Source organism: Homo sapiens, chromosome 2 (genome assembly GCF_000001405.40).
Source record: "Homo sapiens chromosome 2, GRCh38.p14 Primary Assembly".
Classification (NCBI taxonomy): Eukaryota; Metazoa; Chordata; class Mammalia; order Primates; family Hominidae; genus Homo; species Homo sapiens.
Window position 1 is genome coordinate 171,325,061 of NC_000002.12, and position 17,720 is coordinate 171,342,780.

General features: G+C 39.4%; 1 protein-coding gene across 11 annotated transcripts in view, besides 3 other annotated features; it reads right to left on the reverse strand.

Moving 5' to 3' along the window:
* The window catches only part of METTL8 (methyltransferase 8, tRNA N3-cytidine), a 119,027-nt gene that overhangs the window by 9,315 nt on the left and 91,992 nt on the right, over positions 1 to 17,720 (reverse strand). For 7 of the 11 annotated variants that reach the window (NM_001321158.2, NM_024770.5, NM_001321157.2 and 4 more), the window contains 6 exons: positions 14,124 to 14,494; positions 12,393 to 12,442; positions 6,744 to 6,807; positions 5,499 to 5,638; positions 982 to 1,088; positions 781 to 846 (listed from right to left, as the gene is read on the reverse strand). In NM_001321158.2, coding sequence (NP_001308087.1) covers positions 781 to 846; positions 982 to 1,088; positions 5,499 to 5,638; positions 6,744 to 6,807; positions 12,393 to 12,442; positions 14,124 to 14,494 — 798 coding nt within the window. The remainder of the gene's footprint in view (positions 1 to 780; positions 847 to 981; positions 1,089 to 5,498; positions 5,639 to 6,743; positions 6,808 to 12,392; positions 12,443 to 14,123; positions 14,495 to 17,720) is intronic. The other 4 variants (NM_001321161.2, NM_001321162.2, NM_001321160.2 and 1 more) reach the window with 2 other exon arrangements.
* Positions 1,226 to 1,275: an enhancer, noted in NCBI's record as "active region_16750". NCBI's record gives its function as "activates an Ori minimal core promoter by ATAC-STARR-seq in GM12878 lymphoblastoid cells {active_cell/tissue: GM12878}" and the evidence as "EXISTENCE:reporter gene assay evidence [ECO:0000049][PMID:35858748]".
* Positions 1,770 to 2,294: an enhancer, noted in NCBI's record as "OCT4-NANOG-H3K27ac hESC enhancer chr2:172183340-172183864 (GRCh37/hg19 assembly coordinates)". NCBI's record gives its function as "activates a minimal SCP1, AML or CMV promoter by ChIP-STARR-seq in primed H9 embryonic stem cells {active_cell/tissue: H9 hESC(primed)}" and the evidence as "EXISTENCE:reporter gene assay evidence [ECO:0000049][PMID:30033119]".
* Positions 11,779 to 11,838: a silencer, noted in NCBI's record as "silent region_12100". NCBI's record gives its function as "represses an Ori minimal core promoter by ATAC-STARR-seq in GM12878 lymphoblastoid cells {active_cell/tissue: GM12878}" and the evidence as "EXISTENCE:reporter gene assay evidence [ECO:0000049][PMID:35858748]".

Here is a 17,720-nt window from a genome sequence, read left to right on the forward strand (position 1 = left end):
GCAGTGAGCTGAGATTGTGCCACTGCACTCCAGCCTAGGCAACAGAGTGAGACTCTGTCTCAAAAAAAAAAAAAAAAAAAAGAGAAATCAGCTAGAGATAAGTAATTTTCCTTCTTTCTATTTTGAAAATGTATTGTTTTTTTAGACATAAGATTCACTCTGCTGCCCAGGCTGGAGCACAGTGGTCCAATCATAGCTCACTGTAGCCTCATCTGCCCCAGCTCAAGTGATCCTTCCACCTTAGCCTCCCAAGTAGCTAGGACTACAGGTATGCACCACCAGACCAGCTAATTAAAAAAAAATTGTTTTGTAGAGACAGAGTCTCATTTTGTTTTCTAGGCTGGTCTCAAATTCCTGGCTTCAAGCAATCTTCTCACCTTCATCTCCCAAAGTGATGGGATTACAGGTGAGCACCCCTGTGACAGGCCAAGATAAGTAATTTTCTATAAACTTATCAAATGTCCTCCTTTGGCTGTGGCTATCATCAATTTTTTTCATATCTAGGCTAACAATATCTCCAAAATGGAACAGCCTTCACCTTCATCTGGGTATGAGGGTAAAACAAGAGACTTTAAAGCAGTTTAACTGGAAAAAGATTAAACAGTAAACGGCCATTTTCAACCTTTTATGTAGACCAGTAATAAGCATCAAAGTATGAAGACATCTAATGCTTAATCAATGACTGAAGCCTCAGTTTCATAGCTTCTGAGCTATAATCAATGAGATAATAACTAACAAGAACGATTATGACCAATTATTTCCTTTTGTAGATTAGCATACCTTTTGTAAAGAAATATGCTCTGGTACCATCTCCTCGAACATAAAAATTTTCAGATAAACAATGTCCTGAAAAAAATTGTGAAAAGAGAAACTCTTAAGGGTATTCCTTTAAAAAAAAACAACTAAATACTTTGATGTGAAATATAAACAAGGCATTCTTTAGAACATTTAAAAATAACCTCAAACTGAATATACTATTACCCTTTTTAAAACGAAGCTGAGTCTTATCATATCTTCCATAGTCTCGAAATAACAGCATTCCCCCAGGTTTCAGTAACTTGGACAGTCGGTTTACAACACCTTGCATCCTTTGGAAACAAAGTATTAAAAAGATACCCAGTTTGTAGAAATCTTGTTTTATATGCTGGATTTAACTTTGTTGAAGACAAAATAAGAAAAGCTTGATAAGGCCAAAGAAATCTAAACCATAAACATAAGGGTAACAAAAATAAAAATATTTTGTAAAGAAGAAAAAACCAAAACCAACTTGCTAAATGACTAGATTCAAAAGTCCTAGAGTATCAAGAAATCACCCAAATGATCAGAGTGGTAACTTCACAGAGCTTGACGTATGATGTCAAAGCTAAACTTCAAAACCACAGATGTTTCCTGGTACTTACAGAAAATTAAGGTAGTTCTGAGATAGACAACAATGGAGTGTGCTTCATTTTCCTTGCAAGATAAAAAATATGCCAAAGCCATCCCAAGTTGTACATATCTAAAGAGGGAATATCTTTCCTCCAAAACGAGCTCATTCTCCTTTTCTTTATTTAGTTCGGAGGTACCACCATTTACCTCATGAAAGAGAAATTATTTTTCTTCCACTGTCCTCTCCATGTGGCCATAAAATTCTATGTCCTCTTTAATTTTTATTTTTAATGACATCTTTGATATTTCCTGTCTTTTTTGTTTCCCATTTGTACTCCCTTAGTACCAACCCCTATCTCCTTAGGCCTGGAAACAAATCTGCTTCCTAACACGCTGTATTATTCTCCCTGTCAATCCTTCCTGCATGTTATCGATGAATAATTCTGCTTAAAATGATAATTTTGTCAAATCATCTCCTTGCTCAAAAACTTTCATGATTTTAATCCATAGGATAAAATTTCAATTTCTTAGTTGAGCTCTTAAGATCTCCTACTACTGACCCCAATTAATCTTACCAACAGCTTTCCAATCTGAAGCAGCTCCCCTAGCCAAACTGTCATGCTTGGCCCTGAGCAGCCTCTGCCTTTGCTCACATGGTTTTTCCTCAAAGAATTCTCTCCTCCTTACTGTCTGCCTATTTAAATTTTATTCACATTCCAAGCCCTAGTTCAACAGCAGGGAGCCTTTGCTTTTCTCCTTTACTGTTTATTCTACTTATTTGGCTTCCAGTCAAATACAATCCCTTATAGCTGCTCTTGATTTAGTGTTTTTGGCTAAGTGTTCATGGCTTTATGTGTGATTATGGGCCAGGGATGGCATAGATTTCAGATCTCATATTAATTCTGAGTGACAGCATCGGCTGCCTACAGAGCTCTGAGAAGGACTCATAAAGCTCATTGCGAGTTACCGAGTACAAAATCGATTATCAATGTCTGCCATGGGCAGAGAATGGTAAATGGCAGCTTGTGTGCTAAGTCCTTGTCTCTGCCTTATCTAAGCTACTTAAAGCTGCTGAGGTTTTCTTATTTGAAAAAAATGAAAAGTTTGAATCAGATAATCTGTAAATTCCTTTCAATTAAAACACTGTTCAGTGGAATAGTAAGGTAAAACTCAGATTATGTCATGTTATGAAGGAAGCAGATACTGAGAAAATGAAAGCAACTATAAAACAAGAAAGAAGTAGGACAAAAGGAGGTGGCATGATTAGGTGAAAAGTCCTTTTAAAAAAACTAGCACATAAGGACATAAAAGAAAAAAGAAACGTATTTTTTGTTTATTTTATTACAGGTTATTTTCATACTGTGCTTATATCATAGGCTTTGCGAATGAAAGAAAATCATATCTAAACCTTAAAATATTCACTTTCAATATAAATATTTTACGTACATAGCAAAATCTTTCTGTAATTATTAGTAAAACAAGTATGAAACTAAAATGCAGAAAAATAAACAATCGAACACTTTAAAATGTAGCCACCTCCTCCTGCAAATTCTTTCCTCTCAGCTATCCTTTAATGTCTGGGGTTGAGGATAAAGGCAAGGAACGGGAGCTACTTTTCTTGCTCATCTCATCTTGGTTCATAGTGCAGTTCCCGAGCCAATTCCTGAGAACTGCAGGTGGGAGTGGGCTGGGGGTGAGATGGACAAGACAGGAATGGTATGAAGCCCCTTTTCTTTCTTCATCCTACTTGGGCCAACTCTGCTGTCTTCACTTATCTCTGGATAGAGGGAGAGGAGAAGGAAGAGATAAAAAATGTATTGACTGCCTGCTTTATGCTTGGCTCTGTAATATTTTGTATTTTCATTTCAGTGACAAGAAGGACAATTCGCTCTTCTTTTGTAGCCACCTACAATTTATTCCCATTTAAGCTGGGTCCTCCAGACTCAAGGTCTAGCCAAATTGCTTGCCATTTGCTTATGCCTGAATTTTCCAAGCTACCAAGATGCTACTTTTCTAGAACTTTTCTGGGGTTGAATCTACTACTATAGTCCTAAGTGACACTATAGACATTGCCTTGGTTTTAGTTTTTTCTTTTTTTGAGACAGGGTCTTACTCACTGTCACCCAGGCTAGAGTACAGTGGCGTGATCTTGGGTCACTGCAACCTCCGTCTCCTGGGTTCCAGTGATTCTCCTGCCTCAGCCTCCAGAGTAGCTGGGATTACAGGCATGCAGTACCACGCCCAGCTAATTTTTGTATTTTTATCATTTATTTATTTTTTTGAGACGGAGTCTCTGTCTTGCCCAGGCTGGAGTGCAGTGGCATGATCTCCACACACTGCAGCCTCTGCCTTCCAGTTTTAAGCAATTCTCCTGTCTCAGCCTCCCAAGTAGCTGGGACTACAGGTGTGTGCCACCACAGCCAGGTGATTTTGTATTTTTGGTAGAGATGGGGTTTCACCATGTTGGCCAGGCTGGTCTTGAACTCCTGACCTCAGGTGATCCACCCGCCTTGGCATCCCAAAGTGCTGGGATTATAGGCGTGAGCCACAGCGCCCAGCCTTTTATTTTTTTTTTGAGACAAGGTCTTGCTTTGTCGCCCAGGCTGGAGTGCAGTGGTGCAATCTCGGCACACTGCAACCTCTGCCTCCTGAGTTCAAACGACTCTCCTGCCTCAGCCTCCCAAGGAGCTGGGATTATAGGCGCCCACCACCATGCCTGGCTACAGGAGGCAGAGGTTTCACAGTAGAAACGAGGTTTCACCATGTTGACCAGGCTGGTCTGGAACTCCTGACCTCAGGTGATCCACCCACCTCGGCTTCCCAAAGTGCTGGGATTACAGGTGTGAACCACTGCACCTGGCCTTTCTCTTCTCTATAACATTCAATTCAAATCATGAGAAAATACATTATCTGAACTAATTTCAAATAGTCTTTTTGTGGTTATATGTAGAATTTAGATGTTTCTTGTTATGGGTGTCAATGGGGAATCTTGTTCTCTATCCACCTCTCCATCCTTTTAACTGTTCATATAAGGAAACCAAACACATAGATGACAACTTTCTATTAGTACCTGAACAATGCCTACAGTCTAAACAGATTAGCAGAAAGAAATAGGTTATAGAAACTGGGAGGAAACAGTAGCTTCATAAAACCTGACATACCTCACTAGGTGCTAAAGTATCTTATTTCAGATTTATTTGGAAATGGAATTTGTTCTTCTACAAGTAATCAAAGTGCTCATTTCTGAATGGGAAGTAAAAGAACTGTAAAGGGTCCTAGTGGCCTTTTAATTGCAAAGAAATAAGCACATGGTAACTCAGTTTCTATGGAAAAGGGTCACACTCATCAAACAAAAAGTGGTTGACGCCAAGTCTGTATCTTCCACCAGGGAACTGTGAGAACCCAATTTTAAGAAACCTTATGAAAGCACAGACCTGGTACTTACCATATGTACCCTTTAATACATAGAAGATGGCAAGATTTAAGAAAGGTAATCATTCTAATTGCTGGTAATATCTCTTTATGTTTTCTCTCTGGAGAAAAGCTATGTTTATAGTTTTAAAACACTGTATGAAACTAAGTCATAAATATTTAAATGATGGCATCAGGCTAACCTTAGATCATAAAGGTCCAAGGATAATCTGGCAAATCTTAATAACTCCTGATTCCCTAGTGTGCTTCTTTAGAACAAAATTTTTAAAGCCCATCAACAGGCCTGTGTGAAGCCAAACAGATCCCAAGCCCACCTCTTCATGAACATTCAGGAAGACACTACACTAAAGATGTTTGTTTCTGATCACCAAGTACAATTTCCCTCTTGGGAGTCTATTAGGTTGTTCTGAATTTGTAATTTCCTTGAAGCACTGTCACTTTTAATAGGTATGTGTCTTGCCAGAATATGCTCACTTCATTCTGACAGTGACAGAAAGCTCATTAATGAAGTAGTCTGACCAGTTTCTGTCTAAAAGTACGAAGAAAGGAAAAACTGCCTTTAAAAGGCTGTGTATTATACATAATGTTGCTCACTAAATAATAAATTCAAAAATTGTCATTTTTGCTTTGATAGTTCTGAAAACCACTACTGATAAAGGAGCTTTACACATCCACTTTGCCCTTTCGTCTTCATTTACCTGTCAGGATGAATAGAAGAGAGCACAAAGACAAGGAGAATGACATCCAGGATCCCATCTGGAAAAGGGTAAGGTAAGCCATCATCACATACATCATGAACAAAGGCAAAACACTGGGTTGCTCTGTAGGACGAGTGTGACTGTCATGATAAAGGAACAGAAAGCAAAAAGAGGACTTAGTAGACTTCCGGGATTTTTTTTTTTTTAAATAAAAAGGTCAAATTTTTAACCTTTTCTCCCAAAAGCCTTTCCTCTGTCAGTCTGAACACTTTTTTCCAATTCAGTATTGTTAGCTTATTTCAAGCTGCCCTAAAAAAATTAAGGCTAGCTCTTGGCCTTGATAACAAATATCCTTCGCAATCCCTCTTTAACTTTAAAAGTAGAGGAGGGTAGGCTTTCTGAGTTAGTAGACAGTGTTGTTAGAGGCCTGCTCTGGGTTGCTGTTTCTGAACTTAAAGAGGTTCTGTTTGGACTACGATTATTCATGGGCAGGCATACATTCTAAATTTTGTAGGTCAGTACCCTTTCTGGTCATTTCTTGTGTGTTGTTGGCCTTTCTTTCTTTCTTTTTGAGACACAGTCTTGCTCTGTCACCAGCATGGAGTGCAGTGGCGCAATCTTGGCTCACTGCAACCTCCGCCTCCTGGGTTCAAGCCATTCTCCTGCCTCAGCCTCCCAAGTAGCTGGGATTACAGGCACCCACCACCATGCCCAGCTAATTTTTGTATTTTTAGTAGAGACGGGGTTTCACCATGTTGGCCAAGATGGTCTCGATCTCCTGACCTTGTGATCCGCCTGCCTCGGCCTCCCAAAGTGCTGGGATTACAGGCGTGAGCCACCATGCCTGGCGCTGTTGGCCTTTCATCTTTTTTTTTTTTTGAGACAGTCTGCTCTGTCACCCAGGCTGGAGTGCTGTGGCACGATCTTGGCACACCGCAACCTCCACCTCCCAGGTACAAGCGATTCTCGTGCCTCAGCCTCCCAAATAGCTGGAACTACAGGCACGTGCTACCACAGCCAGCTAATTTTTTTATTTTTAGTAGAGACAGGGTTTCACCATGTTGGCCAGGCTGGTCTCAAACTCCTGACCCCAGGTGATCCACCCACCTTGGCCTCCCAAAGTGCTGGGATTACAGGTGTGAGCCACCACGCCCTGCCTCTAGTGATCTTAAAATCAAAACAACTTTTATTGTTCTGGGGTAATACCTTAGGCATCAGTTGGTATGATTCCCAGGAGTAGCATACCTTTACGAGCTCCACAGCTCCAGAAGCAAAATCACAACAATACAGAAAGGACTCCGGAGAGTTCCTATGAAGATGGAAGAAATATTTATTTATTTTTTTGGAGACAGGGTCTTGCGCTGTTGCCCAGGTTGGAGTGTAGTAACGTGACCATAGCTCACTATAACCTTGAGCTCCTGGACTCTAGCGATCTTGCTTCCTCAGCCTTCTGAGTAGCTAGGACTACAGATGTGCCTCACCATGCCCAGCTAATTTTAGATTTTTTTGTAGAGATGGGGTCTCACTATGTTGCCCAGGCTGGTCTTGAACTATTGTTCTCAAATGATCCTCCTGCCTCAGCCTCTCAAACTGTCAGGATTATAGGTGTGAGCCACTGTGCTCGGCCAGAAGAAATATTTATATCTGGAGTCTAGAAATACTCAAACTAGAGAAGAAAGGAAACTGTAGGTCTGACTTGTTAATAAGTTATTTCCACCCCCGCCCCTCAGCTTTTTTTTTGAGACAGGGTCTCGCTCTGTCACCCAGGCTGGAGTATAGTGGCACAATCACGGGTCACTACAGCCTCGACCTCTGGGGCTCAAGTGATTCTCCCGCCTCAATCTCCCGAGTAGCTGGAACTACATACAGATGTATGCCACTGTGCCTGGCCAATAGGTGGTATGATTTTTAATTGGACTCTTCTTAACTTAAATATGTTCTGTTTGGCCTTTATCTGAAATTCAGTAATGATGGCTGGACCATGGTTACTTAAGGCAGCCATATACTCTGAAATTTGTAGACTAATACTCCTCTTGATTATACTGTGTATGCTGGTATCAAATAATCCTTGCATCATGTTGCTTAGTACCATGTCTGAACTACAGAAAGAGGTCAGCATGTCATTAAACAGTAAGGATGGTCCTGGCTCTCATGGGTTTTATAGTCTAGTTGGGGACATAATTGGTTTTATACAACTTCTACAGGGGTGTCAAGAGGGTCAGCACCCTGAGGTATAAGTCTTAAAATTTCTGAAGGAGGAGGATGTATTGTTAAGTGAGGAGAAGGGGAAATGGTTGAAGAGTTTAGAAGTGGGAGTCACATGCCAGGGATGAGAAGTAGCACTAATCCTGAGAGCCCAAACTGGTATATGGCAGGATAAAAAGGTGGGCCTTGAAGCATATCATTAAGACTTCTAATCTGACTCAAGAAGCATTCCAAGCAAGGTGAACCTCTAAATAAATATGGAATTTATTTAGCTAAATAAATATGCATTTAGCAAAATCTGACCCAGGTGCAGGTTATACTCTTTTTTTTTCTTTTCTTTTTTTTTTTTGAGACCCCAGAGTTTCGCTCTTGTTGCCCAGGCTGGAGTGCAATGGTGCAATCTCGGCTCACTGCAGTCTCCGCCTCCTGGGTTCAAGCAATTCTCCTGCCTCAGCCTCCCAAGTAGCTGGGATTACAGGCATGTGCTACCACGGCCGGCTAATTTTGTATTTTTAGTAGAGACAGGGTTTCACCATGTTGGTAAGGCTGGTCTTGAACTCCTGACCTCAGGTGATCCACCCACCTTGGACTCCCAAAGTGCTGGGATTACAGGAGTGAGCCACCGCACCTGGCCTCAGATTATATTCTTAAAGGCAACTCATTGATGAATAACTATGATAACATATAATTCACTCATTCTATGGCACTAGGGATTTGCATTCAATTTAAGATCTATCCAAATAAGTTAAAGTATGATTAATAGGATTTTGTTATGAAAAGCTAACCAGTACTGAATCAAAGTTAAAACTCATACTGCTTGGTCTTTTCTCATCTGTCAAACATAAAAATAGCACTTTACTTCAGCATGTTCCCCTGTTTTTTTCTGATTAAATCCATATAATTGTGACTTGTAATTTGCTGGGTGTTTGAAATGTATTTGAAATGTTCTCAGTAAACACTCAGCACTATGTGGCTAATGGTTAAGGGCAGGGGCTTTGGAACAAGACTGCCTAAGGTTTGAGTCTCAGCTTTACTACATAGTTGCATGACCTTGGGCTAGTTGCTTAATCTCTTCTTTAATTCAATTCCCTCATCTTTAAAAAAAGAGATAAACATGGCATCTAAGATGGTTGTTTGAAGTGAATGGATTCTTATAGCTAAAGTTTCCAGAAAGGTGCCTGATTCAGAGTAAGCACTCAATAAATGTTAGTCATTATTATAATTGTTGTTGCTATTATTATCATCACTATTATTATTAAAGGAGATTGTTTTTGCCTTCCAGGAGCTTAAAAACTAACATAGTCCTCTAAAACAAAACAAAACAAAACAAAACAAAACAAAACAAAAACCAAAAAACTTCCATATAGTTCAAAATGCTTTTCTGGACACTGGTATGTCTAGCTCATTATAAAAGGTCTGCAGTCTACCTTTGGGCAGTAGTTACCACATACCCATAAGATATAGAACAGTCTACGAGCTAAAGGAAAGCATGTGCCATATGCCATGTGTCCTGCCACGGTGGCAGCATGACCTCTAAGATGGAATTCCCACTGTATCAGCAGCCCAAGGTGATGTCTTGTGACCACCCAGTGACTTTCCAGAACCTTTCTGTAAAATCAGCTGACTACCTTGGCTCTTCTCCCAGCAAACAGGTGTAAATATCACTACTACCACCACACCACCAAGCACTCTCTTGGCAGGGGTCTATGAATTAAATGATCCTTGGAGAATGATATGACCTCTCCATTTCAGAGGTCTAATTATGGTAAAATATTCTGAAAATGTAAAACATTAATCCTACACTCTCTAAAAGTAGTAAAACATAATTTCTTAAGCAGAAAAAAAAAGTCTAATAATTCCTTTGGAAGGCTAATCACTGGTTGCCTTTAAAAGATGAATTAATTATCTGAGGTTATTGAGCTACAGTAATTTCTAAAACATAGGTATGAGGCAAAGAAAGACAGAGCTAAGAAGAAAGAGTTAGGGAGTGAGGAACCAAGAGCTTGCAATTATAAGCTGAAGGGAGAAGCAGAGGTGAAAAATACAACTAGCAAGTGGGGGAATGAGAGATATTAATCAGGCAATATGTATTGAGCTCCAACTAAGCTGTACTGTTAGGCAACCTGGGAAATCAGATTAGGATAAAATATGCCCTCTACCTTAAGGAATATAAAAAGTGGTCGGAGAGACAAGGCATAAATAAATGACATGCTAAATAATACCTTGAGATCAGTCATAAAGTAACACACAATCAACTGCCAATGTAGTGTATTTACGTGTATTATAAGCTCAGAGACCACTGGGGTAAAGGAATATGGCTATGTGACATAAGCAAGTTTGAAATTTCAGCCCAGAAACTAGAAAAAGGAAAACAAAACTAACAAAGACACAAACAGAAAGGACATTCAGAACTGTAAATTTACCAGCATCACCCAGGCCTGGCCACATTAACTGGTTATTAAATGATAGTAGGAAACTACTCACTATTCATTATGTTAGGTTTATAATAATATTAGAGAGTATACTGAGTTTTGGGAGATATATCCTGAATAATCAAGGATAAAGTATCATGATGTTGGCATTATATTGGTAATTGTTGAATTGAGGTGTTAGGCATATGGAAATTCACTGTACTCTTTGCTTTTCTGAATGTTTTTTAATTAAAAAAATTTTTTTTGAGACAGAGTCTCTTGCTCTGTCACCCAGGCTGGAGTGCAGTAGTGCGATCTCAGCTCACTGCAACCTCCACCTCCTGGGTTCAAGCAATTCTCCTGCCTCAGCCTCCCGAGTAGCTAGGATTACAATTGTGCACCACCACACTCAGCTAATTTTTGTATTTTTAGTAGAGACAGGGTTTCACCATGTTGGCCAGGCTGGTCTCAAACTCCTGACCTCAAGTGATCTGCCTGCCTCGTCCTCCCAAAGTGCTGGGATTACAGGTGTGAGCCACCGCACCAGGCCCCAGATGCTTTTACATTTTAATAATAAAAAGTTTAAAAGATCACATCATTTAAAAATATGCATAAAGACTGAAAGGAATTAAAACAAAAATTTTGTCAGTGGCTATGTTAGGATGATGAGTGATTCCCTCCCTCTCCTTTTCCTCTAATGGAAATGTTCTGCAACGTGCTAATGCTGATTTTATAATGGAAAAATAATGTGAACTTAAAAAAAATGTGTAAACTTAAAAAAGAATAGAGCTTGGCAGATTGGCCATAGATAAAAGGTGTTTGAAGAGTTTTGTGTGTTCATCATGGAAAAAGTAAAAGACACAGGTGAAATGGTGAACAGGAAGGGTGAGCCTGGAGCAAATCTCTGTCCCTGTAGTCAAACTCTGCTTTTTTTTTTTTTGAGACAAAGTTTCGCACTGTTGCCTGGGCTGGAGTGCAGTGGCGCATCTCAGCTCACTGCAACCTCCACCTCCTGGGTTCAAGCAATTCTCCTGTCTCGGCCTCCCGAGTAGCTGGGATTACAGGCGCCCGCCACCACACCCAGCTAATTTTTTGTATTTTTAGTAGAGATGGGGTTTCACTATGTTGGCCAGGCTGGTCTCGAACTCCTGATCTCGTGATTTGCCCGCCTTGGCCTCCCAAAGTGCTGGGATTACAGGCATGAGCCACCACGCCCGACTGCTTTTTTTTTTTTTTTTTTTTTTTTAGACGGAGTCTCACTCTGTCGCCCAGGCTGGAATGCAGTAGCGAGATCTCGGCTCACTGCAAGCTCGGCCTCCCGGGTTCACGCCATTCTCCTGCCTCAGCCTCCCGAGTAGCTGGGACTACAGGCGCCCGCCACCACGCCTGGCTAATTTTTTGTATTTTTAGTAGAGACGAGGTTTCACCGTGTTAGCCAGGATCGGCTTTTTTGAGTCTTAGGATTAGTTGCTGCTACCTCCAAACAATTTTAAGCCTAGACACAATGATTTGGCATGCAAACATCTTACATAGGGTGTTGCTTCAGAAGGGATGACAAAATGAGGCTTAAGTTGTAAGCTTTACATTCAATTGTCTATGTGTAAAATGACATCTAAGTATCTAGGGAGAGTAAATAATCTCTGAAGTTTAGCAGTTCACAGCTCAGTGGAAGGATGAAATCACTTCCTCTTTTTTTTTTTTTTTTTTTTTTTGAGACTGAGTTTTGCACTTGTTGCCTAGACTGGAGTGCAATGGCGCAGTCGGGTCACTGCAAACTCTGCCTCCTGGTTCAAGCAGATTCTCCTGCCTCAGCTTCCCAAGTAGCTGGGATTACAGGCATGCGCCACCATGCCTGGCTAATTTTGTATTTTTAGTAGAGGTGGTGTTTCACCATGTTGGTCAGGCTGGTCTTGAACTCCTGACCTCAAGCGATCCACCCGCCTCAGCCACCCAAAGTGCTGTGATTAAAGGCATGAGCCACCATGCCCAGTCTGCTTCCTCTTTTCTTATTCTCTCATCCATATACACATAAGCTTAAAAAATTACTTCAAAACAATGATGGACAACCCATGGCTACGAAACACTATTTTCAGAGTAATTCCCAGTTCACATGAAAGTAGACATTGAGATTAAGACATTTCTTTTGAAATTTGCTTGAGCCATTGTTCATATAAGAATTAGAAACACTACTGGCATACACGTGACAATATTTTCCCAGAATTTCTCAACATTCCATAAATATGTAAAATTCTGTAGAAAGAAAACTCTTAAAACTCACTCCAAAGTGTTCAAAATTGGAAACACACTATTTCCAGCTCCACAACCAACCTAAAATCAAAAGAACAAGCAAATATCAAAAAAAGCAAGGTTAAATTTTTGTCACCAATGTCAGATCTCCTATTAAAGAAAAAAACAATTAGACTTACTGGATCTCTGGGCACAGGATAATTTTCTAAACTCAAAAGCAATGAAATAAATCACAGGAATAAACACTAAGAAATCTGACTATGGAAACATTTAAATTTTTTACACACCAAAACCCAAAATAAACCAAATTTAAAAATAACCAATACGCTGTGAAGAAAACTGCAATGAATATGATAAAGGGCAAGGCTCATTAGGAAAAAAAAAAAAACAGATAAGCAGAGAAAATAAATGGACAGAACAAAAAAGAAGTACAAATGATTCTAAACATTTGAAGTATGTGACCTACTTAGTCATCAAAGAAACGCATATTAAAACAAGGTACAATTTTTGTCTAACAAAGTGGAAAACATTAAAATAATACTTCAATCAATGAGGGTGTGATGAAACAGACATACACTGTCATGGAATGGTATTAGTACAACTTCTTAGAAAGCAAGTGGGCAATATGTTTTAAAAGTATTAAAAATCTTCATAAATTATGAACTAGAAAATCTAACCTAAAACAATAAAAGAAAATGCAGGTAAAGGCTATACCCAAAATGTTTGCTTCAGAAAATCTGAAAACAATTAAAATGCCCAGTAGTGTGAAAATAGATAAGTAAAATTATAGTACTCCACATAGTAAAATATTTTGTAGCCATCAAAATATTTACAGAGAATTTTTAAAGATAGTGAAAACTGCTTATGATGCCATGTTAAATAGAAACAAACAAAACTTAGAATACATGTACAGTAATAAAAGAAGAAAAAGGTCAGCCAGGCACAGTGGCTCATGCCTGTAATCCCAGCACTTTAGGAGGCTGAGGCGGGCGGATCACCTGAGGCCAGGAGTTCAAAACCAGCCTGGCCAACGTGGCGAAACCCTGTCTCTACTAAAAATACAAAAAAATTAGCTGGGTGTGGTGGCAGGCGCCTGTAATCCCAGCTACTCAGGAGACTGAGGCAGGAGAATTGCTTGAACCCGGGAGGCAGAAGCTGCAGTGAGCTGAGATGGCGCCACTATACTCTAGCCCGGGCAACAAGAACAAAAGTCTGTCTCAAAAAAAAAAAAAAAAGAAGAAAAAGGTCACTAAAATGTTAACAGTGGTGAAATCCTTTGTTTGTAGGATTGGTGATAAATTATCTCCTTGTTAGCAAATTTTCTATAATCAATATACATTGCCTTTAAAATAAGAAAGACAGGGTTTAGTTTTAAAAATAGAAAACCAAGGTCTACACCAGATTATAGCAAATTATATATCTCACTTATTTCTATTTCATCTAAAAAGGGGTAATAACAAAGAGAGTAAAAATTAAGGCCAAAGCTTCATTGGTACTTAAAACTGCCCTCAGATTAAAATGAAAACAGACAATTTTTTTTTTTTTAAAAACCAGCAAAACCAGATTTAAACCACAAACTTAAAACTTGACTGATTAAAGACATGAGTCCCTTAGATATTATTTATGCACAGAAGTACACTGAATGCTTATTTACATTTGATAGTTTTCCACCAAAAAAAATCTGGATTTTTAATAAAATAATACAGAATGTACATTTTCAAATTATTTGTCACCTCCCATTTTTGTCCCTTGAGCACAATACCTCTAGTATCCTGAAAGTGGCATTGCTACCAGGAAACAATCCAGTCTCCATAGGTCCTTTTTTGTGTTTTTCAGAGTCTAGGTTGGAAAAATCAGATTCTGTTTTGCTTTGACCTTCTGAAGAACCAGAACTTTTCTCATAATGATTTTTTTCATCAGGCACAGTAGGACAGTGCATTCTTGAGAAACGATTTGTAGCACTAGTTTTTACATGATCCCATGATGATTCTCTCGCCTTCTCTTCAGGTTTTTGATCAACTGGAAGAATTTCAGGAAATTCCCTCAACAGCCAATTACGATCCTTGAAAAACTTATTCTTATGAATCTTGTAAAATGTGTCCCAGTATTTACTAGCTTCTCTCTCATACTTAACTAAAATAAAGAGGAAAAAGAAAGATTTATTTTACTACGAATTATATTTACTATTAGCTACTGTCTTGATAATTGTTAAACATATACATTATCATTTATAACAATTATATTTACAAATGAATAACTTTAATATTATAATATTTTAATCTATCTGATAAAAGGTTGAAACTACAGAGCTTTAATTCTCTCAAAATGTGTCAAAATGTGGGATATTTAGTCCTACCCCTGTGAATCTGCTTTTATCTTAATAGTTTAGCCAATTTTTGTGAGAAATATAATCACTGCAAACAACTTTCTAATTTTATCTTAACAATCACATTGTTACCAATAAGCTGTGTGGTTTTTTATTATCTTAAAGAAAGGTCCAGGCGCGGTGGCTCATGCCTGTAATCCCAGCACTTTGGGAGGCTGAAGCGGGTGGATCACGAGGTCAGGAGTTCGAGACCAGCCTGGCCAACATAGTGAAACCCCATCTCTACTAAAAATACAAAAAGTTAGCCGGAGGTGGTGGCAGGTGCCTGTAATTCCAGCTACTCAGGAGGCTGAGGCAGGAGAATTGCTTGAACCTGGGAGGTGGAGGTTGCAGTGAGGTGAGATTGCACCATTGTGCTCCAGCCTGGGCAACAAGAGTGAAACTCTGTCTCAAAAAAAAAAAAAAAGAATGAGGGCTGGGCACGGTGGCTCATACCTGTAATCCCAGCACTTTGGGAGGATGAGGCAGATGGACACTTGAGGTAAGGAGTTCAAGACCAGCCTGGCCAACATGTTGAAACTCCATCTCTACTAAAAAAATAAAAATTAGCTGGGTGTGGTGGCAGACACCTGTAATCGCGGCTCCTCAGGAGGCTGAGGCAGGAGAAATGCTTGAACCCGGGAGGAGAAATTTGCAGTGAGCAGAGAACACGCCATTGCACTCCAGCCTGGGCAACAGAGTGAGTTGTCTCAAAAAAAAAAAAAAAAAAAAAAAGAGCCTGGAGCAGTGAGACAGAGTGAGACCCTGTCTCAAAAATTAATAAATAAACAAATAAAAGAAAGGACACCTTATTTTTAATGTATTTACAAATACAATTTCAGCATAAATGCAAATTGGTGATCAGACAGGAAATTTCAAAATTATAAACAACATAATTTAAGAGCTAAAAGGGTCCATTGGAACAATTTACTCCAACCTCCCTTTTTGCATTTGAAGAAAGGACCTAAATCCACTTGTTCCAAGTCCTAGAGCCCCATCACAGTGAATCCATGGCCATGTCTCCTGACTTTTGGAATCTGGAGGCCATCCCGTAACTCCATTCTTCCCCCAACCTCCAAGGCATCTCTTCCTACTGACATCTCCCAAGATGAAGCCTTAAAGAAAATTTCTGATGCTCTTAAAACAAATATGCATTTTATGATGTCATCCTGTGGTCAGGGTTAGGTCAATAGTCTCAGAGCTTCAGGTAATTCTTCGCTTTCTGCCTCTTCCTATTTGCTCCTTAAATTAATAAAGTAAGGGCCGGGCACGATGGCTCATGCCTGTAATCCCAGCACTTTGGGAGGCCGAGGCGGGCGGATCACGAGGTCAGGAGTTCAAGACCAGCCTGACCAACATGGTGAAACCCCATCTCTACTAAAAATACAAAAATTAGCCAGGTGTGGTGGCAGGCGCCTGTAATCCCAGCTACTCAGGAGGCTGAGACAGGAGAATCACTTGAACCTGGGAGGCGGAGGTTGCAGTGAGCCGAGATCACGCCATTGCACTCCAGCCTGGGCCATAGAGCAAGACTCCGTCTCAAAAAAAAAAAAAAATTAATAAAGTAACCCACTCTCTCCCTCATTTATTCAACAAACATGTCTTTTATTTATTTATTTATTTTATATTTTTAGTAGAGACAGGGTTTCACCATGTGGGCCAAGCTGGTCTCAAACTCCTGACCTCAAGTGATCTGCCTGCCTCCACCTCCCAAAGTGCTGGGATTACAGGCGTGAGCTACTGCGCCTGGCACGTTCCTTTTTTTTCCCTTTTTTTTTTTCCGTGTTCTTGGGCAGTGCTACAGGCAGTAACAATTTCTTGAGTGCTATTATGTAATAGGCCTAATCCACGCATTAGGAATTACTTTAACCTACTGTAGACGCATGCCATTTTAAAAGTGCAAAAGCTTTCTTTCTAGGAATACAGAATAATTTCCAAGATTTGGTGTTAGGTGAAAAAGCAAGGTATATAACAGTGTCTATATTCTGTAACCACTCATTAAAATAAGAAGAAAATACGCATGTATGGTTACATAGAAATATTCATGTACACACACACACACACACACACACACACACACACTTGTAGAAGGTACAAAATACTTCTAGAAGGATAATCACATAATCAGTAATACTGGTTGCCTCTAGGGAGAGGAAAGGAGTGGCTGGGGACCACAGTTGGAAGGAGAATTTTCATTTGAATTTTGATCCATGTGAATTTACTATACATTCCAAAAATAAATTAAACTAAAAATAAAAATAAGAGATGCATTTCCTTCACAATTTTAAAGAAGCCCCTACTCTCAGAACAAGCAGTTGCCTGTAATCAGGTTCATCTTTGTTACAGAACCCTGTCCTGAGGCCCTTATAATTTTCTTCTTTCCAATTTTATCTTTATGGCCTTGTACCGTGGATCTCCACCCATCTGGCCACAAGACTTCCTTCCCATCAAGGCTGAATTGTATCTGGCAGCAGGAATGCTATAAAGACTGAAACTCCCATCTGTATTTAAGGTCTGAGAAATGAAAGTGGATCTTTGTAACAAAAGAATTATGTGATATTAAGTCCAAAACATACTCACCTCTGCACTAATGGAAAGAAACCTATTTATGGTTGATCTGAAACTATATATTTGTCTTTTAAATATTTCTATCTCTATTTTCCTTCTTTTTCAATAATTTTGGTGTATCTCCACTTTTAAAAATTGGAGTGTGCCTGATATACTATGTAAGAAAACAAAATGACACTCTGAAAATCAGACTCAGGAGAAATTATAAAAGAGTCAAATTTCTCCAGGGTCTTCTCAAGCTTTCTCTTCTTCCTTTACCTTAAAAAAAAAAAACTCTCTTTGTAACTCATTCCATGCAGGTAAAAGATTTTCTGCCTAACAAAAAGCAGCCATCTAAGAAGACTTATATTTAGTGAAATCTCTAGTATTTGAGTTTACAATATCAAGCTACTTGTGAAGTGTGTTTGAGCCCAATTACCAGTAACT